This window comes from Homo sapiens, chromosome 12 (genome assembly GCF_000001405.40).
Source record: "Homo sapiens chromosome 12, GRCh38.p14 Primary Assembly".
Lineage (NCBI taxonomy): Eukaryota > Metazoa > Chordata > Mammalia > Primates > Hominidae > Homo > Homo sapiens.
The window spans coordinates 130,500,635-130,526,336 of record NC_000012.12 but is presented as its reverse complement, the minus strand read 5'-3'; the positions used below and the strand labels follow the sequence as shown (position 1 = coordinate 130,526,336).

Sequence of the window (25,702 nt, the reverse complement as noted above, 5' to 3'; positions counted from 1 at the left end):
GTCTTTCAGCATCTCAGGACAGTCAATACGGTGATTCTTCAGGCCGGCACAGGAGGGCCCACAAACCCAAATGTAGATGTTGGCTTTCGTCCTGAATAGGGTACAAAATTGTTCCTTTATATATTCTTTTAGATTTCATGGAACTAAAAATACCAGGAAATATTTTTGTAGGCCCCCAAGACTGTATCTGTAGTCTCTAGTGCAAGGGAAGATACCCCAGGCTTTCCAGAACCCCCCACCCCTGCCAACTGGAGGCATTTCTGAACCTTCCTCTGGGCCTTGGGACCAAGGGAGTGGCTGGATGATGCTCTTCCTCAGGAGAATAAGAGGCAAATTGGGGCAGGGAGGAGGGGGTCTCAAACCTGACAGCTGCACAGCCCGGGCTTGAGTCCCACCCCTCCACATGCTCGGGGGAGGCTGCTCGCTCAGTTACTTAACCTCCTTGAGCTTGAATTTCTTCCCTTGACAAGCAGGATAGCAAGAATGTCTGCCACATGGCAGTGCTGAGAGGACTGGATGAGATTTCACAAAGAAGAGGAGGAAAGCAAAGAGCTTATGTTGGTTCTTGGCCCAGCGTAGAAGCCCAGGGGATCAAAGCTGCTGCATCATCCAACATGAGCCCCTTGGGTCATCTCCCCCCATACGATCTCATCCCCAAGTGCCCCGTCCTTCTCTCTGCTGCCCTCATGCCTTCCCCATGTGTCCATCTGCACCTGCCAATGCCCCCATGAACGTTACCACCCTCAGCCTTGACTGGGCTTCCTGGAGGGCTGCTGTTCCCGGCAGCTACCCACATTCCACTCGCCTGTGGGAGGAAGGAGGAGTTACTGACTCTGTGACTGCCTCCAGGGCATTCTCTACCTTCCTTAGTCATCCATGCCCCTAGGAGGCTCTAAGCATGACCTTGTCTCTCTGCGCCTCTTCTCACCCAGCACTCTGCAAAAAAGCATCTCCTCCCTCTTCCTCTTTATCTCCCACCCATTGATGCTGCCCTCTGCTTATCCCATCACCAGAGCCTCTCCTGGAGGTCACGGAGATGCCCGCAATGCTGCTTGGCTTCTGGGCAGTAGCTGACCTGCCGGTCCCCACTCTCAAGGCTCTGGTCACTCAGCTCCTAGAAAAGCCTGGAGCTGGCTTCCCATTGCTTCTGCCCTGCACTCTACAGGAACGGCTCATGCCCATTTGTGATGCTTGGGCTTCTCCCAGCTCTGTCTCCTGCTCCTTAATCTTGCTGAGAGCTCCTCCCCTCCTGTGACTCAAAGTGGTGTCGGTATCAGTGCAACTTTCACATCTGGGTCTGGGTCAGGCTCTCCTTCCTGAGCTCTGGGCCATGTGGGGACCTGTCCCCTGAGCATTCCCACCGGGCCTCACGTGGGGTCTCACACTCACCAAGCCCCAGCGCAACCGAACGTGCCCCATCCCTTAAACCTGCACTTTCTCCCTCCTCCCTGCCTCTGCAGCCCCAAGCCAGAATGTGGCACCTTCTTTTCTCGTCACCAAGCCATGCTATTTCACTTGCTTTAATAACTCCTGTACCCGCCTTCCTCTTTCTGCTTTCTGCTGCCATAATCTCAATTCTGGCCACTGGCACTTGTCCCCTAAATGAGTGCAAATTGGTCTCTTTGACTCCAGCCTGACCCTTCTTCAATCCCCTTAACACCCAGGACAGTATTTCCCAAGTGCAGATATTATTTTTCTATTATTTCACTTAAACACCTTTGACAGCTTCTGCATTTCATTCTAAATAAAGTACAAACTCCTCAGTGAGGTTCATGAAGTCCTCGCCACCCAACCCTTCTTGCCTCTTCACGTCTGCTACCCCCAGTGCCTGTCCAGCCAGAGCCCAGCTGTCTGTAGCTCTCTGCATGTGGTGTGTCCTCTCCACTGTGGGTCTGTGCATGGGGCTGGTCACTCATGAGGTGTATCCCCTGCTCACTGCAGCCTGGCTGGGCTCTGCTTGAGGCCACCGGGAATCTGGCCTGGCTCGGCTCTGCTTGAGGCCACTGGGAATCTGGCCTGGCTCATGCCTCTGGAACCACAGGTAGAGGACAAAGAAGAGCAGAGAAGAAGCTTCTGTACTCTTGGGAGGTTGCATCTCATTTACACAAGAATTAATTGCATTCATGTGATCAGAAAGACGTGGTGGGTTAATTACCATGTCCACTCTCACTGAGGAGCTTCCCGTGTCCAAATCCTGCCCTACTCAGGAGCAGTGTCCATCTCCAGGGCTGGGAGCACCACCCCGGCATCTGGAGGCAACCTCTTTGAGGCCAGCAGAGCAGAGGCTGCGAGGAAGCATCTTGCTGGGGCCTGTCCAGTGTGGCCAGGAGATTGGATGTTCATGGTTTTGAATCCTGTAGCGTGGATACCAGATCCTGAGAGCCAGAGACCTTGCTGTGCCCTTACATGCCTTTGTTATGTATTTGTGCTGGGTGGACCCTCTTCCCCACCTCTGAGACCAGACCTGTATCAGGAGATACCGAGAATTCCTCTCACCTCTCCCCATAGCAACTGGCGTTCCTGACATCTCAACCCAGAATGCCCTGCGCTGTCTGCTGCACCCACAAGGCTGGGGGCAGAGGGTGCTCCTCACCCACTCACTCAGGGCCCCCTGCTGAGCCCGGTACTGACACATACACACTCAGTGGTGGTGGTGGAGGGATTATTGAAATGAATAAAATTGACAAGTTTATTGAAAGAACGTGCTTTTTCCTTTCTCTTGTCAGTTTCTCCCCCAGAGAAGCGGCCACCTTGTCCATTGAAATGGGGATTTAACTGGAGCTCCTGATGGGGAAGGGGGTGTCTTCAGAAGACCCAGTTTCTTCCTTGACGAGCCCTTGAGCTGCCTCGGGAGACACTGTGAAGGCTCCTGTCCATGTCTCGTTGCTTTAGCAGAGGCTATACACTAGCTCAGGCTGCCATAGCAGGATCCCACAGACCGGGCAGCTTAAATGACAGAGCTCTCCTCTCTCTCAGTCCTGGAGGCTGGAAGTCTAAGACCAAGGTGCTGGCTGATTCGGTTCCTGGTGCGAGCCGCTTCTTGACTTGCAGATGGCTGTTTTCTCACTGTGTCCTCACACGGCCAGGTAGTGGGTAGGGGACAGAGAGAGATGGAGGCAGAGAAACCCCCCCCAACACAGAGAAATAGAGACAGAGAGGCAGAGAAACAGAGACACAGACAGACATGGAGGCAGAGAGAGAGAGAGAGGCAGAGTGAGACTGGGAGAGACAGAAGAAGCAGAGAAACAGAGACGTGGAGACAGAGACAGAGAGGCAGAGAGACATAGAGACAGAGCCAGAAAAATGAACAGAGAGATAGACATAGAGGCAGAAAGAAAAACTAAAACCGAGGCAGAGTGAGACTGAGAGAGAGGGGGAAAGAGAGGCAGGCAGCGAGACCGAGATCGTCCTCCTCTTAGAAAGCCCCGGTCCCTGTTGGATTAGGATCTCATGACCTCATGTAACCTTCCTTACCTCCTAAGAGTCCCATCTCCAAATAGAGTCACCCTGGGGGCTAGGGCTTCAAAGTACGAATTTGGGGAGATGCAATTCAGTCCACAGCAGGCAGGGAGACAGCCTCAGGCACTGTGGGCCATCCTCCGTGGAAACCCACCTCCTCCTCCTCTCCCTGCGCACAGGAAGTCCGTGCCTCCCTGGGGCTCCCTGCACCTCCCCTCACCCCACCTGCACTTGGACTCTGCACAAGTCCAGCTGCTTTTACGCAGCGCCCCGCCTTGAAGTCGAATTCCGCCTGTAGATGTGTCTATTTTGGGAAGGAGCCCATGGTATGTGTGTTTTGAGTTAGTAGCCACCATATCCAAACAGGGATGTTTTGGATGGAAACCCAGTGTCCCAGCTCCTAAAGACACAGACAGCTGTCAGGGCCAGTTCCCGTCCCCACGTGGCACCCGCAGGAGGGACAGGGTCGCAGCTGCCCTCTAAGACTGGGGCCTGGGCTGGCCGGTTGCCATGTTCCCCGAACCTCTAGCACCTCTGGCCCTGTCCACTGAGTGTGTTACACGGCTCTCCCTGTGGGCAGTGGCGTTTGAAAGGCTTGCCTTGGCCCTTTTCCTTCCTCCCTCATCCTCATTAGAATTCACTTTTTGCCCATGATTTTGCAACACAGCAGCTAGAAAATCAAATAAGGCTATTCCTGTTTAATGTGTTAGTGGATATTAATGGATTAAAATATCTCCTTAACTGGCACGTTCTGTAGCTGCCCTGGGAGGGGGATTTCAGGGACATGTGGCCCTAGGAGTCCTCACATCCAATCCCAGAATGCTCTGATGGGCATAAGTGGAGGTAAGGAAGTGCCCTTCCTTTTTGTGGCTGCAGACAATTAAATTCCACAGACTGTGTGTTTTGATTCTTACAGGGTAGGCTCTGTCTCATGAGGGCATCCACTGGCTGGGAAACCCTAAACCCTCTTTTGTGTGGCTTTAACCTCAAAGGATTAGAGACTGAAACGATTCCATTGCAATGCTTACATGTCCTTCCCTGGAAAAAAAGCCATTACATTTCTGAAGAAGCAAGAAGATATCTGGAAGCTGGGTTTTCTCTTTTCACAATTGTTATTTCAGGTCACAAAGCTAAGACGGGGGTGGTGCCTACAGCTGGAGCTCAGAAAGTTCTCCCCGTCAGGGTCCCAGCAGTGTGGGAGTCATGGGCTTCCTGTCACTAGGCAGGGGGCATGAGGCATCACACTCGACCACTAGCACTCAGATGTGGTCAGTACTCAACAGCGTCAAAGCCCCACTATGGGGGAACCCAGCAAGTGTGTCAGTTACATTGTGGTGTGGGACCACGCGTGCGTTTGTGTGATCTGACTGACGTGCTGGTGCCTCCCCCTAGGCTGTAGAAAAGCTTGTTAATCAGAGTGTCAGATTATATTAGACCCCCCACACCCCCAATCCTCCTCTTCCTCCTCCTGGGAACTGTCACGGCTAGTGCCACTGGTGCCGGCTGCTGGGGGACTCTCGTTTTGTTGTGTTGCGATTCCAGGCCCACATTTGGAGGCCTTCTGATCTCAAGCGTGCAACCAGCACATAGGTGATCTGCATTTCTTGGTATTCCTGCAAAATTTCTTCAGTGGTGCTGATTGATTCAGAAAGGCTTGATTTGATTGGGGTAGTGTCCACCTCCCTGTGTGGACAGCTCTGGTAGCACACAGGGTCAGTTATGAGGCCTTCCAGGTTAAGCCATCTTGCCTTTCAGCATCTTCACAGGATCAGAAGGGTGAGAGGTAGGCATTTTCTGATTTCCCCCCCAAGGCCTGCAAACACATGCATGTCAGGGTGGTATCCATGCCTGCCACTGCAGGGGACAGTGGGGACCAATGCCGGCTTCCCTGCTGAGCTGCTTGTGGAACCACACGTCCCCATGCCCACCTCTGGGCTTCTTCAGGGTAAGCATGGACAACGTGGGATGCTCATAATCTGGCAAATAAAGTCTCATAGTATGAGAAGGCTCAAGCTGGTACCTTTGCTGTTTTCTTTGTGCCTTTACCTGGCTGTCTGTGTCACTGAATGGGTTTCCTTTACCATCATGGTAGGAAGGGCTTTGGCACTTGGCTAAGTTTTTTGTGATTCTTGAAGTGTGAGGTAGGGGGTCGTTAGTTTCAAGTAGATCTCCCTGTGACTGGCTTTTTTTTTTTTTTTTTTTTTTGAGATGGAGTTTCACTCTTGTTGCCCAGGCTGGAGTACAATGGCGTGATCTCAGCTCACTGCAACCTCTGCCTCCCGGGTTCAAGTGATTCTCCTGCCTCAGCCTCCTGAGTAGCTGGGATTACAGGTGCCCACCACCACGCCTGGCTAATTTTTGTGTGTGTGTGTGTTTTTAGTAGAGGCGGGGTTTCACCATGACCAGGCTGGTCTTGAACTCCTGACCTCAGGTGATCTGCCCTCCTTGGCTTTCCAGAGTGCTGGACTGGCTTTTTTAGGGTAGGGTGTGCCCAGTATAGTAAGTGGTATCTGAAGTGCCTGTTCACGCTTGGACCAATTTGGGAAGCTACATTGGAAAGAGACGAAGATGTTTCTCTCCCTTTGCATTGGGATATCATGGGTTGGTGTTTCCTGGACAGGATTTAGATCCTGAGCTTTTTTCCTGAAAAGACTGATTTCATTTCATCAGGATAAGCAACTGACCTTGAATCACTGAGATGGAATATAAATAAAATAAATAGATGTAAGCATTTCTATAACCACCAGAAAATTGGGTGAAAGACCAGCCTTGTTTATCTTCCCTGTGCTCCTTTCTTGCAATTCACTCTTCCTAAATGCGATGCAGAGAGAGGCGGATGGCATGAACCAGGTGGCTGTGTGGTGGCAGAACGTGGAAGAGGCAGGCAGTCATTGCAATGCCTTCAGGAGGGAAGGGGCCACTTGTTTGAGCCTTGACCCTGTGCAGTAAGATGTGCTCTGTGTTCCGTGAGATTGATGTCCTTGAATCCTCACAACATCTGCTAGGGTTGCAGCTTTTACCTCCTTAAGTCACAGAGAGTGCAGAGAGGCCAGGCAGCTTGTCCAAGGTCACATTTAAGGAGAGCTCCCATTTGTATTTAGGCAATTTGACCTCAGAACCCATAATCTAACCCCTATTTCAAATGTCTCTTGTTCTCAAATTCTCTGAGCTATTGCTGCCTTAGTTTACCTTGGGGCATGTTGGTCTCTGAGGTCAGCAGCCAGGTATTTTGATTAGTACACCCATCCCATCCCCTTAAGACCTCCAGGGATTCCCCCATGTGGGACATGCTGAAGAGGCTGCAGTTCTCTCAAGCAACCAGTGTGGGACTACATTATGATCTGCTTTACTTGAGAAAGGCAACAATAAATGTTATGCCATCCAGACCATCTCAGAAGACAGAAGGGAATTGCTCCATTATCAATCACTTTCCCTAAGGTTGGGTAATCATTGTTTCCCGGAACAAAGCACCACCGTCTTTTATGTTTGGGTTCCTTCGCTGTGTTTTATTGCTGTGAAAATGTAGCTACCACAGAGTAGCGGAGCTCATTATGACTGTGGCTAAGAAAAAAGGAAGGTTGACTGAAAAATGGAAGCTGAAAATGGCCAGGAGGAGCCTCTCTCCTAGTGGGAAGTGTTGAAACCACGTGATTTCTTGCTGCTTTTCTGATGTGTGAATGGAGCCTAGACTCTGAGCACTCGAAATATTGTAACAGAGATGAACCAGATCAATTCAAGATGTGGGTGTCCCACCAGTATTAATTTATTTAGGGTGTGAACAGAGAACAAACTTGAACAATTGGGAAAAAGAGAAGTTCTCAGCCTGACAGCTGGTAGCTGGTGTGGTTCCAGCTGCCTTCCACTGTGAGTCATTGATTATCCCTTCTGCTTCTCTTCCTTTTGGAATGGATGCCATTCCTTCTTTTAGGATTCTAAACTTATTGAAGTCCTTTTCAGGTTGCTTTATTATTTTTATTTCCTCTGGAGTAAATTTATCCTGATTATTAAGTTTATGAGATCTCTTTAGTAGGGTTAGTTCTCTTTATGTGTTCTGGAATTTCTCTTTTCAGACTCATCTTGAATGAGAGATTCTTAATCCCATCTCTGTGCTCACTCTCCCTGTCTTACTTATTTGTAGTTACTGTACCACACCCTAGGTGATCTCAGTCTTGAATTAGATTTTATTATTGGCAGCTCCGAGTTCCTGTGCCATGGTGATAGTAGAGAGTAAGACAAGTCCTAAAACTGAGCCTAAAAATGAGTTTTCTCCCTCTTGCCTCTCTAGGTGCATGACCCCATAAAAGCTCTGGCTCTAGGTGGAGGTGATGGATTATTTTCAGCTTTCTTTGGGGGCTTAACTGTTGCCTCAGGTCATGTGGTGACCTTAGTTCATGTCTCTTGTCTTATGTGGAATACATTGAATCTTGGATATCTTGAAAAAGCTGGACTCTTAATTCTCCCTGCCTATTTTTGGACTCTGAATCTAGAAGGTTCCAGAAGTTCCGCTCACCACATTGTGGTCTAGCCATTTAGTCCTTAGAATGCTTTATCTTATTTTTGAGTGGCTAAATATTTCTAAACTTTCTCTGTCTATTGTTTATTGTGGCTGTATGTTTGGAGCAGTGTTCACGGGAAAAAGGATGGGTCAAAGCTTATTAACAACTCCAATTGGCGAGAAGTTCCGTTGCTTTTTTAGGACACAGACACTAAGTGATTAATATGTATTATTGTATTATATTCTAATCATCGTATAATATAACATGATTGCCTTTTGTAGATTTGGAAACTTATGGTTTGGAAAAAAGAGAGAAATCAGTCCCAACTCATACACAGCTTATGGATTGCAGAATCAGTGCCCAACCTTGGGTCTCATTACCACATTGGAGCTCCTAACCACTGCACTCTACCAAGTCTCTAAACATGGGGGCACCATCTCACATGTCCTTTCCTTTTGTCCTAGGAAAATGAACTGAAGGATGCCACCCAGGGAGAGTATCTCCTGAGATCCCATCATGCAGGCCTTCCCACAAGGGCCCGGCAGCATGACAAGGTAGCTGATACCACTGTCCACAGACCATCTGGGGCCCTGGAGGGAGCGGGCTGGGCCAGGGAGGAACAACTGGGAAGGGGCAGGGAAGAATCACTGAACATCAGTGTGAAGGTGGCCTGAGAGGCTGAGCCAGGTCTCTCTCACTTCTTCACATGACCAGCACGTGAGGCACCCAGTGATGTCTCATCCACTATCTGCTGGTTATCTCTGCTTGGAAGTCTATTAGGCACCTGTATCTTTAACAGCAAGGCAGAACAAACCCATTGGTGCCCACTCTCCCAAACCACTTTCTCCCCAGTGAATGGTGTGGCCACTCCTGGTTGCCTGAGCCTCCATGATGGGGCCTCCTGGGCGCTGCTCTTTCTTCATCCGAATCTAACTCCCTGCTCAAGTCTGTTTTCTGTTGCTTATAACAGAATACCTGAAACTTGGTACTTTATAAAGAAAAGGAATCTATTTCTTAAGCTATGGAGGCTGAGAATCTAAGGTTGAGGGGCTGCATCTGGTGAGGACCTTCTTGCTGATGAGGACTCTGTAGGGTCCCAAGGTGGTATAGGGTGCCCCGCGGCAAGGGGACTGAGTGTGCTCACATACCAGCTCAGGGCTCTCTTCCTCTTCTTATTAAGCCAGCAGTTCCACTCCCCTGATAACCCACTGGTCCATTAACACATTGATCCATTAATCCATGAATGGACCTATCCATTCATGAGGGCAGAGTGCTCATGATTCAGTCACCTCTTAAAGGCCCCACCTCTCAGTACTGCCCTGTTGAGGATTAAGTTTCCCACACATGGAATTTGGGGGATGCATTCAAACCATGGAGCGCACCAACCACTCATCTCAGCACCAGACGTGCCCCAGCTCTCCTCCCCCTCCTCTCCACTGTGGTCATCTTCTCTTTCCCAGATGCCAAAGCCATTTCCTAACTGGCCTGTCTAGCTCCCTTGTCATCCTGTGGTCTTTTCCCTATGGCAACTGGAGTGATCTTGTGATGCCCTCTGGATCATGCAATCCTCTGACCCTTCCAATGCCTTCCATAAATAAAACTGAGGCTTCTCCCTGTGGCTGCCATCCTGTCCATCTTGCTACCTCTCGTCCACCTCTGACTTACTTTTGTTCCTTGGATCCCTAAGCTTGTCTCAGCATTTGATGGTTGTCTCTGCTTAGAACACTCCACTCCATCATCTTCAACAGCTGGGAGCTTCTTGCCTTTCAACCCTCAGGTTACGCGTCCCTCCTGGTAAGGATTCGTGGCTCTAACGTCCACTCTAACAGCCCTCCCTCCATCCCTTTTTTCTCTATGTGACAACACCTGTTTTCATGTTCTTTGTATCTTTTCTTGCTATCTTAGTCTATCACGGGTCTTCACTTATGTGTTTGTCTGTCTCCTACGAGAATGTGGGCTTGGGATTGCAGAGAGCTTTGCTGTTACATCCATGACTGTCTCTCCTGTACCTTCAAAGGATGCATAGCGGGTGCTCAGTCAACATCTATTGAATGATGGGTTGTTTTAAGCTGTTAATTTTGCAGCTTTGCCCATGCATATTTCAAGGAATAACTGAGCTCTAGTGATTAAATATAAAAATTAGAGTTGTCTTGATTTGACACTTATTTTCTTGCCTTCCTGTCTGGCCATTTTTTAAAGGTATGTTTTTTAGGAAATTACAAGTGTTGATGAGGATGTAGGGAAACTGGAATCCTGCACATTGTTGCTGGGAATGTAAAATGGTGCAACCACTATAGAAAACAGTATGGAATTTGCTCAAAAAATTAAAAATAAAATTGCATATGATCTAGCAATCCCAATCCTGGTATAAGAATTGAAAAGGCAGTCACGTGTGGTGGCTCACACCTGTAATCCCAGCCCTTTGAGAGGCTGAGGTGAGTGGATCACCTGAGGTCAGAAGTTGGAGACCAGCCTGGCTAACATGGCAAAACCCCATCTCTACTAAAAATACAAAAATTAGCTAGGTGTGGTGGTGCACGCCTGGAATCCCAGCTACTTGGGAGGCTGAGGCAGGAGAATCGCTTGAACCTGGGAGGTTGAGGTTGCAGTGAGCCGAGATCATGCCATTGCACTCCAGCCTGGGCAACAGAGCAAAACTCAGTCTCAAGAAAAAAAAAATTGAAAAGGAGGGTCTCAAATAGATATATGTACATGTTACAAATTTATAGTAGCCAAAAGGTGGAAATAACCCACATTTCCACTGATGGACGAGTGAATAAACAACATGTGACATATGTGTCCAATGGAATATTACTGACCCTTGAAAAGGAAGGAAACTCTGACACACGCTACTGCATGGATGAACCTTGGGGACATTTTGCTAAGTGAATAAGCCAGTCCCAAAGGGCAAACACTGTTTGATTCCACTTATATGAGGTTCCTAGAGTCATCAGAGCCATAGAGACAAACAGTAGAATGGAGGTGCCAGGGGCTGGGTAGAGGGGGGATAGGGAGATGCTGTTTAATGAAGACAGAGTTTCAGTTGGGGAAGAGGAAGAGAGTTCTAGAGATGGGTGGTAGTGACAGTTGTAAAACAGTGCGAATGTCCTTAATGCCACTGAAATACCTACATGTAAAATAGTTAAGATGGTAAATTTTATGTAATGTGTATTTTATCATAATTTTTCTTAAAAAGGTGTGTTTTAGGCTGGGCACAGTGACTCTCTCCTGTAATCCCAGCACTTTGGGAGGCCGAGGCGGGCGGATCACGAGGTCAGGAGATTGAGACCATCCTGGCTAACACGGTGAAACCCCGTCTCTACTAAAAATACAAAAAATTAGCCGGGCGTGGTGGCCGGTGCCTGTAGTCCCAGCTACTCTGGAGGCTGAGGCAGGAGAATGGCATGAACCCGGGAGGCAGAGCTTGCAGTGAGCGGAGATCACGCCACTGCACTCCAGCCTGGGCGACAGAGCAAGACTCTGTCTCAAAAAAAAAGTGTCTTAATATATCCTGACCCTCCAATTAGTATGCTTTCCCCATTTTTCCACCAGCCCCCACTTTCCAAACCTACACTTGCAGGAAAGGCTCTGCTAAACTCACTCACACTGAGGTCTGAATGCATCATAAGGCTTAGTGACTTTCTTAGGACAGGAGTATTTTTCTTCAAATAGGAGGAAAAATATAAAAAAGATGGGGGTGCTTCAGGCCTCCAGCGCAGGCTGACGACAGGGCTGGTGGGGAGCTGGGCACAGGGAGGTCGGATCCTGGGATGGCTTTCTTCCTACGACTAAAATAGCTGCATGTGTACACGTTCCACTCCTGAGCTGGGCTCCTGCACCTGGAGAGGCAATGCCAGCTGTGGGGGGATGGGGGTGCTGGAGCTGAGCCCTGCAGGCATTGACCAGGCCAGCAAGGGCCGGCGGAGGTGGGGGTCCCAGCGCTCAGCCCTCACAACAGAGGCAAAGGCCTCCTTTCCTGGATGGCTGGTAGTGCAGCTTGACATCCCTGCTCCCGCAGGATTCAAACCACTTTGTTTGTTTGCTTGAGGTTTGAATTTCTCCCCCTGCTGTCTTCTCAGCTTGGCCTTTTAAACAAGGCTGCAAGGCACAGGAAATGAGCTGGCCTTTGCTTCTGCTTCTTATGGGTGTCTGAGGGAGCCCAGCAGCTCACCCGGCATGGACAGGAATAGCAGTGCTTTGAGAGAGGCAGCAGGGGCACCCCAGATCTGTCCTGCAGCCTGCTTTGCGGAGCTTGGCTTTCCTTCCAAGTGCCTGGGCTGGCTACCTGCATGGGAGGCATTGAGGGAGTGGCAGTCCCCAGAGACTGTCTCTTGGGCTGAGCATCTTTGTGGTAGCTGGGGAGGCTGAAGGTGTGGGGGTGACTTTGTGCTGATGGAAGTATTCAACTGTCCCTCCAGACTCATGGGTAGGCTTGTCAATGCAAACCTGCAGAAACAACAGTGTCCTTCTGGATCCCTGGAGACACTTGGGGATCAGCAATTCCCCTATCTGATTCTTGCTTGGAATTGCAAAATGCTTTTCAGTAGCACTGATTAAGAGATGGAAATTAATTCTCAGAGCTCTTAATTATGAATGCAAAGAGACTGCAGTGTCAGCATTTTTCCCTGTGCGGAAATGATTGGTTCTTAGGTGCAAACTGTGATGTTGGGCTGTCTGGAGTGTTGAATTGGATTCTCTTAGGCAGGCAGCCTTGTGGGAGGAAACCGATGAGCTGGGATCCAAGACATAGTGCAAAGAATATGCTTGATGCCTTTGAAGCTGCAAAACTAACCTTTTGTTGATTTCAGAAAAATAATTCAAATTTCTTCTCTGTTTGGGTTAGGAGGTGCCTGTTAAAGCTCCCTCCTCCCCGCACTGGGCCACTGTTCCTGTAGCAGGTCTGAGGTTCAAGGTTTTCGTCACATTGAGTAGCTGATGCCAAATATTCCAAGCTTCTCTTCCACCTGGTGCCACCGTTGCTGCCACAAGAATCTATTTTGAAACAGAAATGAGTCCAGTGTCTGGATCTAAGTGAAGAACAGTTCACTCTTATGAGATTTTTTTAGAGAATAAAATCCAGTCCAGTGTCTGGATCTGATGCCCAGGGTTGCTAATGTGCTGTTGTGTTTGTGTGTGGTGAGCAGGTCTTGGAGAATCACTCAAACCCTGTTAGTACCTGACATTCTGGAGCTGGGCACTAGTAGGTCATTAAGTTCATGACCCATGAGCACATGCTGTAGCATGGGTCAGAATTTCCTACAACCTAGGGAATCCTCTTACCTGCTGGCCAGAAACCCAAAAGGTTGTAGAAGTATAGGCACAGCTAGGAAACACTGGTATGAGATGGCAACCATGCAACTTACTAGCAATTTCCCTCTTTAAACATTTTTTTTCCTAGTAAAAAAATTATGAAAGTTTAAAAGGATGACACACATAGACATTTGGGATTCGTGAGGCTTAGTTTTTGACTGAAAGGTGAGTGTCCAGCCCAGGGTTGCAGCTGAATATTATTCTCTAAAAAAAATCGCATAAGAGGGAACTGTTGTTCATCTTGCATTTCATCAGGACAAAGGAAGAATCGTCTGGGCTCCTAACCTGGAACATCTGGGATGTTTTTTCTTTGGTTGTGTGTCTTAGTGAAAATCTCTGAGTCATCTTTGTCACTCTGAGTCCACTTTCTCCTTTAGTAGGAGACTGATTTGGCCCTTGAGAACATCCAGGAGACTGTTCTAGTCCAGGAGCAATGGGACAGGGACCCAGGCCGGGTGCGGTGGCTCACGCCTGTAATCCCAGCACTTTGGGAGGCCAAGGCGGGTGGATCACCTGAGGTCAGGAGTTTGGCACCAGCCTGGCCAACATGGAGAAACCCTGTCTCTACTAAAAATACAAAAATTGGCTGGGCATGGTGGAGTGCACCTGTAATCCCAGCTACTTGGGAGGCTAAGGCATAATCATCACTTGAACCCAGGAGGTGAAGGTTGCAGTGAGCCAAGATCATGCCACTGCACTCCAGCCTGGGCGACAGAGTGAGGCTCTCTCAAGAAAAAAAAAAGAAAGCAATGGACTTTGAGGCAGAGACCTTGATGCAGCGGGGATCCCAGCACCCCTATATTGTGCTCAGCCAGAGGCCAGGGCATTTGTCAACCAAGGACCCATCCACCAAGACTCCCTGGCACGAGCTGGGCTGCAAAGCCCAACCAGGCAGAGAAGAAACTGCCAGGCTGTCTTCTGGGCTACCGGCCCCAGGCGCCAGCATTTGAGTGGCCCGTGGGAGCCAATATTTATCGTGTTTTAATTTAGTGGCATCAGTCCTCTATCCAGGTGGGATCAGCGGCTGCTGAATTAGAGAACGCCCCCTTCTCCAGGTTTATCAGCTGGGGTTATTTCCAGCTGCCCCTCACAGAAGCCTGAGCTTGGTGGGTTTCATACGAAGGGCACTGTTGTGCTCAGGAAGCCCAGAGGTGGTGACCCTGGCCAGAGGCAGCTGCCTGGAGAAGGAGCCAGGGCCCAGGGGCTCCTGTCCAGCAGAGACGTGTGTGGAGGGTGGCTTCCTTGACACCGAGACAGGTGGTATTCCATCTCGAAGGGTCGCATCCCCACTGTGGTGGGAGGAAGAGGGGCTGAAGCTTTTCTCACGAAGCTCTGTTTCATGAAAGGTCATTGTCCTCTAGAGATTTCTGCTCCAGGCTCATCAGAACCGTGTCACAGACGGTCTCAGTCTGGTCCCAGCAGGAGAGAGATGGCGCATACTCCAAAAGCAATTGAGGGTTGCTAAGCATTCTTAAGGAGGTGCAGGCAGGGTTAGGGGAGCCACTGGGGTGACTGAAGCCCTGGGGGCTGTACCAGTAGAGGAAGTGACAAACCTTGACTTGGGGGAATAGGGAGGGGTGGGACCCAGCTCACTGGGGCTTAGGGCTTTCCAGGGACAGATGCCAGTTGTTGGTGTAGAGTGACAATTCGACGCGTGCTCGCGGTAACGAGGACTGCTGTTTAGCTGATTTCCGCATCAGTTGCCTATTGCTGCTGTGACAAATTCCTACAAGCACACACACCACCGTGTCTCACCGCTCTGGAGGTCTTCAGTCCTAAAGTCAAGATGTCAGCAGGCCGGTGTGCTTTCCTGAGGCTCTGGGGGACAGTCTCTCCTCTTGCCTTTTTTTGGCTTCCTTCCCTGATCTTCAAAGCTGGCAGCAGAGCATCACCTAAGCTCTCTCTTTTTTGTCTCTGACTCTGCTTTTCCTGATAAGGGCTCTGTGACTACGTAGAGCCCATCTGGATAACCCCGGTGCTCTCCCACTCTCAGGATGCTCCATGCAATCCCATCTTCAGGGTCCGTTCTGCCACAAAAAGTGATATATTCACAGACTTTAGGAATTTGGATGTGGACATCTTTGTGTGGGGCCGTTATTCAGCCATTATACATCCAGGAAATCAGTCTTTTCGGTTCTCCCTCCCCCTCCTTGTCCACACACCCTCTCCTCCTTGTTGCGAACCAGAGCCATGGCCTTCATCATTCTGGTAAACAAAAAGATGACACTATGGGGAATTTTAAGTCAAAGAAATGCAAAACCATAATTGTGGCATGAGACGAGGTCCATGAAAGAGTAAATATCAGCCGGGTGAGGTGGTTCACATCTGTAATTCCAGCACTTCGGGAGGCCGAAGTGGGCAGATCACTTGAGGTCAGGAGTTCAAGACCAGCCTGGCCAACATGACAAAACCTTGTCTCTCCTTAAAATGCAAAAATTAGCCAGGCATGGTGGTGTGCACCTGTAACCCCAGCTACTTGGGAGGCTGAGGCATGAGAATCCCTTGAACTCAGGAGGTGGAGGTTGCAGTGAGCCGAGATTGCATCACTGCACTCCAGCCTGGGTGACAGAGCGAGACTCCATCTCAAAAAAAAAGAAAGAGTAAATGTCATTGGCTTGCCCCGAGGTCCTCCATGGACTCTGTCTGGACTCTTCACCTTCCTCCAAGATCTTTCCTTTTACTTTGCTTATGAGCATCACCTCGAGGTCAACACACCCATTCGTTCCCCCAACATTATTGCCTTAAGTCACTGCAATTGCCACCATATTGTCCACTGCAGAAACACAGTGTTTCCACTCTACCGTATTAAATTTAGCTCCCTTCTAGCTCTACTGTGGGACAAATAGGATTTAGGGGCCAGCTGGACTCTAGCTTCTGGCGCCGTTTGTAACACACCTGTGGGAGAATGCGTTCCGGTGCCCGGTGATTTCTTTCCAGGTTCACACTGGAACGGCAGCCTGTCCGCAGGTTGGAGGTTGTCTGTTCTTGACCAAAGCACTGGATGCTGACCCTTAGAAGGCAATTCCTGACTGTCCAGTGCTCTTATAAAAAGCTGGATAATAAATGCATCTTCATGCTGGGTTCTGCACATGGAGCCTGAAACCCAAGTTGGCTTCTCTGTGAAACACGAATCTGAATCGATTCCTCCCCAAACTAGAAACTCCTTATGTAGGGAGCCTCTGAGCCATCATGGTGCTTCTGGGCTGCTAATGTTTTTTCCTTTGGAGATTTTACCCATCAGGGTCACAATAGCAAATACACAGCACTTGCAAACTGGAGGATGGAGCAGAGTTTAGAAAAGAAAGTACTAACAAAGGTGTGGGTGCTGTTGCCGGGGCGGGGGGGCAGAGGGCATGGGCAGGACACCTGCAAAGGAGGTTGGGAGTCTGAGACCAGCAGAGGCCGGGGGCCATGGCCACCTGCTATGGGTACAGGGAGAAGGGTGTGGGAGAGGCCCTCCCTGTAGAAGGACACTGTTGGGGGTTACCCCAGTTCCACCACCCAGTGGGAGGACTCGCAGGGCTCAGTGTGCAGCTGCCCTTAGGGCTGTGACTTATTACAGCAAAAGGACACATAGCACAGGTGGCAAAGGGAGAGGCACACAGAATGAAGCCGGGGTAGACCAGGTACAGGCTCTCCAGGTCGTCTCCCAAGAGGATTCCCAAGAATCACACAGGATGCTTAGAGGACCTGCAGCTGCAAGCTGTGATGTGTGTGAAATGTCATCTGTCAGGGAAGCCCATTAAAGCCTCAGCAGCCAGAGTTTTTATGGGGACCTGGTGGCATGGGCACTCTCTGTCCGGCACATACTGAAATTCCGACTCCCAGAAGGAAAGGTGTTCAGCATAAACTGTCCTGTTCAAGTGGCCTAGATGTGGTAAGCCGCCCTAATCAATTAGGGAAGGTAGGAATTCTCCCCAAATCCTGCTTCCCAGGCCTCCAGCCAAGGGCCAGGCTCGCCAGCAGCCTTTCTAAGGGGAGCAGCTCAGGGTAATCCCTGCAGGCTGGTGGGGAGGGCCGGGGGCCGGGGGTCATGCTGATCCATCATTTCTTGATCATGTCTTCCACTGGGCAAGCCTGATTAGAAGCCGGATGGTACGGGGGGTGCAGGCCATGAGGATGAGCCTCTCAGGACACAAAGGGGGATTGATGACAGTGGGGCCTGTGTCTGGGAGGGCTGACAGCAATAGTCCACCCAGGAGCCAGGGCCACCTTTCCACTCTTGGAAATTTCCTCAACACCATTCCATTCAGTACAAAAATCTTGCTCGACCACTGACTCCCTGCCAGGCGGTCCTCTGGGCGCTGATGATGGGAAATTGCAAGGCAGAAGAAAACTTCTGTCTGGTGACACTTCTGTTCCAATGAGGAGCAGCCACAGGAAGAAGGCAAACAGCCGCAGAGGACAGTGCTGAGCACACGTGGACACCAAAGCATGGTGGTGTGGGAGGGAGGGGCATGGAGGCAGGGGGTGAAGGCAAGGGTTTCGTCACCTTGCAAGGGTTGGGAAGGCCTGTCTGAGGTGACACCTAATGAGAAGGAGCCAGACCTGAGCAGACTGGGGCAGGGCCGGGTAGAGATCTGCAGGCAATGGAATCAGCAGGTGCAGGGGCCCCGGGGTGGGAAGAAGCTTGACCTGTTTAAGGGACAGAAGGAGGCCAGGGTGTCCCCAGCATAGTGGCAACAGGGTAGCAGGTGGGTAGGACTTTTAGACCACCAAGGAGTTTGGATTTTATTCTAATTTCTGTGGAAACCACAGAAGGTTTCAAGCAGGGAGAGGCAAGATCTGGCAGGTATTTCAGAAAGATGGTGCTGGTCACCGTGTGAGACTGAATTTAGGGGCATTCAAGCATGACCCCCAAGTCCTAATGTTCTTGAACAGCTAGGATGCAAGAAGTGATGCTTTCTGCAAACCTGCACCCCAGGGTATTGAGGTTCAGAAGTGAGGGTGGTTTAATTCAAATAGGTCGTGACATTTTCTCCGGGGGCATTTGGATTATTTCTCTAAGTTCGTTGCCTGATAACATCACGTTGCAGCAAAATGGCATTAAAATATTCCTTCGAATGAGACCTCTCTACGACCTCTTAATAACAGCTTTCCTGTAACCCTGTTCCCATTTGGGAATGCCAAGTGGGTGCCTCCCTTTCTTTTGGTGCCCCAGAAGTTGTCAGGTTAAACTAACACTCAGTACAGAATGTATTTGAAATAGAAAGGACTTCTGCAGCTGAAAAGCGTGACATTATGTTAGTCTGTTATTGAAGCCATAATTCACATCATAACACTTGAGGAGGAGGAAAAGAAATTACAAGGCTGCCGTTGGGTTAAAACATGTTGCCTCCACAATGAAAATGAATGGGAAAGGAACCATGGTGACTTCTTTCGTTGACAGCATCCCCTTACTTGTTTCGAAGAGGAGAGAGACTGAACATGGCGCTTGCCTTCCCAATAAGCTTGTAGCTTGGCCCTGGGGGTTGTGGCCTGAGAATGGAATTTATGTGGTTTTTGGGTTTATTGGGGGAATGCATTCTAGTTCATGTGGAATTTCATTGGCATTTTTATTCACTTTTAAGATGAGATAAAATTTTTAGACAAGAATAAATATGCTTAGACAGTGGGAAAACACTTGTATCTGTTAGGGCTCTCATAGTTACAGGGGACAGACGATTCAAATTGGTGTAAGCAAACAAGGAGAATCTATTGGTCCAAGTGACTGAAAAGGAAAAGACAATTAGCTTCAGGCTCAGCTTGATTTGGGTGCTCAAATGATGCCATGGGGATCCTGCTTTTCCCTCTGCATCTCTCTGTGTTTATCTCATTGGCTCTGTTCTCAGATGGGTTCTTCCCTCGTGATGGCAAAGGCCACAGTAGTTCCAGCTGTTTGTCTTTAACTTTCCGAGTCCAGTGGGCAAAAGGGAGAGTTCTTCCGGGTTCCTATACAAGTGCAAGATCTCATTCCCCCAGAATGCAACTGGGTCATGTGACTTCCCCAACCAATCACCACATCCAGGGGATGAGATTACACTGATTGGCCAGACCTGTGACACATTTGCAACCCTGAACCAATCACTGAGGCTGTGGTGGAGGTGGGAGGGAGGAAGATGGAGGTCGTCTGCTGATTGGCCAGCCCTTGGTCATGTGTAGTGACCCCTAGTAGGAGTGGACCCAGTCCATGATGGAGAAGGAGGGAGGGAAGGATTCTCTAGGAGGAAATTGAAGATTTTGCTCCTAAAGAGGAAGCAACGGATACCAACTCTTAGGCATGTTGTGATAACCTCCTTGTCTCCATCCCTTCCGCTTGCAGGTGAAGGCAGAGTATGTGCATCTCAACCATCCGCTCACCCTCGTGACCAGAGAGCGCGATTTGGCCGTGAAGGAGAAACACCAGCTCCAAGCCAAGCTGGAGAACCTAGAACAGGTCCTGAAGGTAAGCTGGCTTTCTGCATTTGGGACCGCTTCTGCTCTTTGTGAGGTCGGTGTGAGGAAGGAGGGGCTGCAGGACCCCGAGCAGAAGGTATGTAAAGCTCCTTTGGAAGCCATCATCCACATTCAGAGATGTTGGGGCTGTTTTTCCCCTTTTTGTGGTATAAAAAGCAATAAATAACAAAATTCCAGTGTTTCTGGAAGCAATCCCGTAAAGCCAATTATGCATTTCCATTTTTTAGGATGTTAAACACAGCTGAGCTGTGCAGTGGCAGGCACACCGCTCCTGAATGGAAATGGAGTCTGCCTACGTTAAAGACCAGAGGTGGCTACAGTGGGTTTCAAACTTCAGGAATTTTAAGCTGCTCCTCAGACGTTTAATGACCTTTGTTATAAAGAGGATAGCTAAACCAGAACCTTGCTCTATCAGGGGGTACAGGTAACTGGATGTTCCTCATGCATTCCTGATGAGCTGAGCTCTCCTTCAATATTTAGCCAGTGGGTTGATTTGCTATTGATGCCACTGAGTTAAGCTGAATGAATTTTTTCACCAAGTGTTAAAATTTGATTGGATTATCATTCTGGAAAACATTTTTTTACAAAAATAAAAAAATAATCATCTCCAGTTCTATGATCCAGTACATATATTACCAGGGTCATTTGCATTTCACAATTGCAGAAAACAGGATTAGGCTGCATCCGCAAATACTCTTTAAATCAAGAAGTGATTTTACCTCCATCTGTAGCCTCTTTGGGGAAGCGTTTGGAGCTCTGAGGGGAGCCTCTGGATAGTTGCCAGGGATGATGGGGGGGTGCTGGGGGTGGGGGGTGGGGATGAGGAGTGACCCCTCCAGGGATGGTGGTGGGGGGAGTGGAGGGGGTGGGGGGTGGGGATGAGGAGTGACCCCTCCAGGGATAGTGGTGGGGGGAGCGGAGTGGGTGGGGGATGGGGGCGAGGAGTGACCCCTCCAGGGATAGTGGGAGGGGAGTGGAGGGGGTGGGGGATGGGGATGAGTGACCCCTCCAGGGATGATGGTGGGGAGTGGAGGGAGTGGGGGTTGGGGATGAGGAGTGACCCCTCCAGGGATAGTGGTGGGGGGAGTGGAGGGGGTGGGGGGTGGGGATGAGGAGTGACCCCTCCAGGGATGGTGGTGGGGGGAGTGGAGGGGGTGGGGGATGGGGGGGATGGGGATGAGGAGTGACCACTAAGGGGTATGAGGTTCTTTTTGGAGTGATGAAAATGTTCTTGAGTTAGATGGTAATGATGGCTGCAGAACTTTGTGAAAGTGCCAAAACCATGGGGCACTGCACACTAAAATGGTGACCTTCATGGCATGTGGATTCCATCTCAATTAGAAAAGAATGATGCCATCTCGATTAGCAAAGAAAGATGCCCTATTCTCTGACTACCGGCCCTGAATGTGAACCAAGCTGGTCCTGCGGTTCTCAGCAAGCTCACCATCCTGCTTCTCACTGTGTGCTCTAAGTTTTCAGGATGTAACCCTCAAGAGAGGAGGTGCTACCACATAATTCTTTAAGCAGCTGCCTCGATGACTGTGAGTTTTCTGAGGGCACACACCGTGACTTATCCAACCCTCTGCCTTTAGTGCCTGGGACACAGGTTCAGGGCTTAGTGAATTTAATGGAGGGTGTGCCGTGAATCCCTGGGAGGAAGGAGCTTAGCGGAGAGTCTGTTGGATTAAAAAGCCATGAAAGATGGTTCTCAGTGAGGCCAACTTGCCCTCCAGGGGATATTTGGCAATGTCTGAGGACACGTTTGATTGATATGACTGGGGAAGGGGAGGCCAGGGATGTAAAACCCTCTCCCACGCGCAGATCCGTGCAGATCAGTCTCCTACAGCAGATTATCACCTGGTCCCACGTGTCAGTGGTACTGAGCTCAGAAACCGTGTGTCTGTTTCTTATCGCTGCTGTAGCAAGTGATCCCACAGTGTCTCGGTGGCTTAAAGCGACGTAGTCATATTCTCTTACAGTTCTGGGGGTCAGAAGTCTGAGATGAGCCTCACAGGGCTACGATCTGGTGTTGGCAGGACTGCGTGCCTTTCTGAGCTTTGGGGAGAATTCATTCCTTGCCTTTCCAGCTGCAAGGGCTGCTCAGGGCCTCGCGCTCCACCTTCAAAGCCGGCGATGCAGCATCTTCCCTCCTTTCTGACCTCACACCCTTTGAGTTGGTGGCATTTTTTCTTTTGTTGTCAGTGATGTGAGTGGAATTGGAACCTCAACAGAGTTTCAATCAACCTGATTTGCTGAGAGCTGAAGAGGATTCTACTGGGATCAGAGACCCATCCTGGGAGGAGTCAGGGGGTGCAGGATTCCCAGCTAAGTGTGCCTGAGGGCCGGCTCACAGCCCCTCCCCTTTGCCTGCACAGAACAAAGACACTGAAGTGCCAGCCTGGTGAAGAGCCTGGTGACCGGGCCACCAAATCACACCCACCACTGGGTTTTACTGAATTGTGAACGGGATGTAGTTTTCCTTCCAAATATAAAAGCTTTCAGTGAAATAGAAAAGACTGAAATTGGGGCTGAATGTTTCCTAAAACAATCATGGGAGAACAATACTGAAACTGACTAGACACCCCCCCCTGCTCCCAGCATGGATCACACAGTGATATTTAACCTGATTTGAGTCCCTCCTGATTTTCTTACTTAAAAAATGATAATTGATGACTTCATTATCTGTGAATGTGTTTTTATTATGCTTCTTTCCAAGCATATGGCCTAATTACCAAAATCATTAAATATAATGAAGTGATATGAAGGAAGTGGAATGTTTGCATAAAGAGAAGAAAGAACTAAGATATACCACCTCAGAGGCTGAACATAGTTACTCCAAGATTCTCATTTGGCTCCGAGTTTCCAGGGAGGCTGGACAGAAAAGAAAATATGAACAATTGCATAATTCTCACTCCTTCGGGGAAGGGAGCTCACTGCTTCCCCAGCAAAACAAAGCATGGCGTGCTGGACATGGTTTTCTTACTCGGAATGTTATGTTAGAGGATGCAGAAAAATACAGAAGAAATGGTTGTCAGGAACATTTTCATAGCAATGGAGGAGCAATTTTTCCAAGTCTCTTCCTTTGGAGAAGAAGAGCCTAATGGCATATGGAGTTTTCAAGCCTTTTTTGCATCGTTAGCAAGGAGGATTGGGGAGGAACGCTAAGGCTGGATTGCCCCATATATGGGAAGAACTCAAGAAGAGTTCTTTGGTGTTTTTTTTGTTTTTTGTTTTTTCTTTTTAGATGGAGTCTTACTCTGTCACCCAGGCTGGAGTGGAGTGGCATGATCTCAACTCACTGCAACCTCCACTTCCCGGGTTCAAGAGATTCTCCTGCCTTAGCCTCCCGAGTAGCTGGGATTACAGACACACACCACCACACCCGGATAATATTTTTTTTTTTTGTATTTTTAGTGGAGACAGGGTTTTGCGATGTTGGCTGGTTTTGAACTCCTGACTTTAAGTGATCCATTCACCTTGGCCTCCCAAAGTGCTAGGATTACAGGCATGAGCCACCATGCCCAGCTGTGTTCTTTTTGATGGGACTTGTACAAGAGAAAATGTAGTATTCTGGAGCCCTTCATTCCTGGTCTATGGAATTTAAAATACCAAGAGATGGAAAAGCACTGGAGTCTGAACCAAGTGGGGTGGTCTAACTAGACTCCGCCTGCAAGTCCACCCTGTCTTTTGGGGAATTTCCCTGTCCCCTCCATCCCTACCAAGGGAAAGGGGTACATCGGTGCACCTAAACAGGGATCTATATAGTGAGACACACGTGGCATCCCTGGGCCATGAGCTGCTTATTGCATGACTGTTCATTCATTCACAAGGATTGATTGAGCACTATGTACCAGGCACTGTTGCAGGCACCAGGGGTATAGCAGTTAGCAAAATAGACCTCAACATTCAACTGCCCGATGAAGAAAAAGTCAAATGCGTGTGATACACTGTCAGGCAGTGATAAGTGCTTTGCAGAAAAATAAATTGGGTAAACGAGGAGGAAATCAGTTCCTGCTGATGGTGGCACTTTAAAAGAGTGGTCCAGGAGGCTTCCCTAGACCTACATGTTGAGCAGAGGGAGGAAGCAGCCCTGTCAGTGTTCAGGGAGGAGCATTCCAGGCAGGGGGAGTGCAGAGGGCCTGGGATGTATGGATGCTTGACATGTCCAAGGAGAAGAAAGTGGGCCGGACAGTGAATGGGGAGGGGCAGGGAAGTAAAAAATGAAACCCGGATTGGGAATAAATTGGCCAGAGTCTTACAGGCCAAGGTAGAATTCCAAGAACTGTAGAACTGTATGTATTACCCCCGTCCCAATAAGACTGCATAACAAACCGTCCCGAAGCCTGGGGCTTGAAGCGGTCACAGTCCATCATTGCTCCCAAACCTCTGATTGGCTGCATGGAGCTTCTCAGCTTGACCGGACTGGACTGAACAGCTCCTCCGGTCCAGCCGGGGCTTCATGCACCTGGGTGGCCACTGGAGGGTCTTGGTTGGTTGGGCTGGGGTGACTGCCTTGCTCCTTGCTCTCCCCTCCTCCATCAGGCAAGACAGGGCTTCTGGCCAGGGTACAGTTGGGCCGTGAATGAGGCAGAGGCATGGAAGACCTCATAAGGCCCAGGCTTGAATGGGGCAAGGCACTTCTCGAATTCCGTTGGCCAAAGCAAGGCTCAGAGTCTGCCTGGTTTGAGGGGATGGGGAAGCTGACTCTGTCTCCAGCTATGAGGAGCCAAGAAATTACGTCAGCAAGAATGTAGATGTGGTGCGGGGCAGGGAGCCCCCAAATCAGGGCTTAGGATGGGAGGGTTCTTGGCTTTGCCCAGGGAAGAATTCAAGGGCAAGCTGGTGGGGTTAGCTGCTTTTACTGAAGTGTCTGTGCATAGCAGCAGCAGAGGTCCTGCTCCTTGCAGAGCAAGGCTACCTCACAGGCTGTGCGCCTAGAGTTGTGGCTCAAAGGCAGCTCCGAAGTCGTATTTAAACCAGGTTTTAATTACATGCAAATTAAGGGGCAGGTTATGCAGAAAATTATTGGAAAATGGTGGTAACTTCTGGATGGCTGGGTCACTGACATGGAAAGGGGCGATAACTTCTGGACGTTGCCATGGCAATGGTAAACTGACATGGCACTGCGGTGCGTCTCATGGGAAGGTGCTTCTACCTGGGACCTAATTTAGCTAGTGCTGTGTGGTCCAGAGTCCAACCCCCATCTCTTACCCTCCTACCTCAGATGCAGGGAGTGACTGTGGCATAGTTTTCAATCAGTTTATGTCAGATGCCACTGGAATTGAGAGAGGAGGTGCATCTGGCTTTGGTTTGTAGAGGGTCACTCCAGTGGCCGCACAGAAAAAAAACAGGAGTGGAAGCAGGGACCCCACTGGGAGCCATGTCCTGATGCGAGATGATGGGGGCTTCCAGCAAGGCAGGGTGGGGAGAAGTGCACAGGCTCGGGGTGTGTCTTCAAGGTGGAATCAACAGGGTTTGCTGATAGACTGGACGTGGAGTGTGAGAGGCAGGAAGGAGTCAGGACGTTAATTTCTGGGGCAGCAATGGTGTCATCTGCTGTGACAGGGAAGCCTGGGGATGTGCGGTTCAGGGTCAGGGCGTCACCACGTGTGGGAGATGGAGTGTGTCGTGACCCCTGGATGCTCGGGTGGGAGAGCTCCGGGTTCCCACTCTACGGACCTCCCTGCTGATCCTCAAGAAACCCATGTTGTTCCATTATTAGATGACGCGTGTGGTAGAGTGATAGAAGCGGCTCACTTGGGTTAAAGCATGAAGCTCAGGCAGCCATCACCACGGCCTTTGTTCCCAAATCCTGTGGCCACCGTTCTCATCTAGCACCTGACGCGTCTTGTGTCTTCCATGTCCTAAAGTGACTGAGGGGTAAGAGGGGACATGCGGCCTGTGAATTAAGACTGCCCGTCCTGTGTTAACGGGGGTAGTTACAGCTGTGGAGCTGTGCCAATGTGCATTCAGGGCCTGTCTGAACTGAAAATTAGCCCACT

General features: G+C 49.7%; 1 protein-coding gene across 35 annotated transcripts in view, besides 3 other annotated features; it reads left to right on the top strand.

Moving 5' to 3' along the window:
- The window catches only part of RIMBP2 (RIMS binding protein 2), a 320,167-nt gene that overhangs the window by 189,963 nt on the left and 104,502 nt on the right, over positions 1–25,702 (top strand). For 26 of the 35 annotated variants that reach the window (XM_047428630.1, NM_001393628.1, NM_001351229.2 and 23 more), the window contains 2 exons: positions 8,420–8,509; positions 19,567–19,689. Coding sequence is in view for 7 of the 35 variants with exons in the window: in XM_047428629.1 (XP_047284585.1) it covers positions 8,420–8,509; positions 19,567–19,689 (213 nt within the window). In the remaining 28 variants the exon portion in view is untranslated. The remainder of the gene's footprint in view (positions 1–8,419; positions 8,510–19,566; positions 19,690–25,702) is intronic. The other 9 variants (NM_001351227.2, NM_001393621.1, XM_047428628.1 and 6 more) reach the window with 1 other exon arrangement.
- Positions 11,299–11,997: an enhancer, noted in NCBI's record as "H3K4me1 hESC enhancer chr12:130998885-130999583 (GRCh37/hg19 assembly coordinates)". NCBI's record gives its function as "activates a minimal SCP1, AML or CMV promoter by ChIP-STARR-seq in primed H9 embryonic stem cells {active_cell/tissue: H9 hESC(primed)}" and the evidence as "EXISTENCE:reporter gene assay evidence [ECO:0000049][PMID:30033119]".
- Positions 21,441–21,941: an enhancer, noted in NCBI's record as "H3K4me1 hESC enhancer chr12:130988941-130989441 (GRCh37/hg19 assembly coordinates)". NCBI's record gives its function as "activates a minimal SCP1, AML or CMV promoter by ChIP-STARR-seq in naive and primed H9 embryonic stem cells {active_cell/tissue: H9 hESC(naive and primed)}" and the evidence as "EXISTENCE:reporter gene assay evidence [ECO:0000049][PMID:30033119]".
- Positions 21,942–22,442: an enhancer, noted in NCBI's record as "H3K4me1 hESC enhancer chr12:130988440-130988940 (GRCh37/hg19 assembly coordinates)". NCBI's record gives its function as "activates a minimal SCP1, AML or CMV promoter by ChIP-STARR-seq in naive H9 embryonic stem cells {active_cell/tissue: H9 hESC(naive)}" and the evidence as "EXISTENCE:reporter gene assay evidence [ECO:0000049][PMID:30033119]".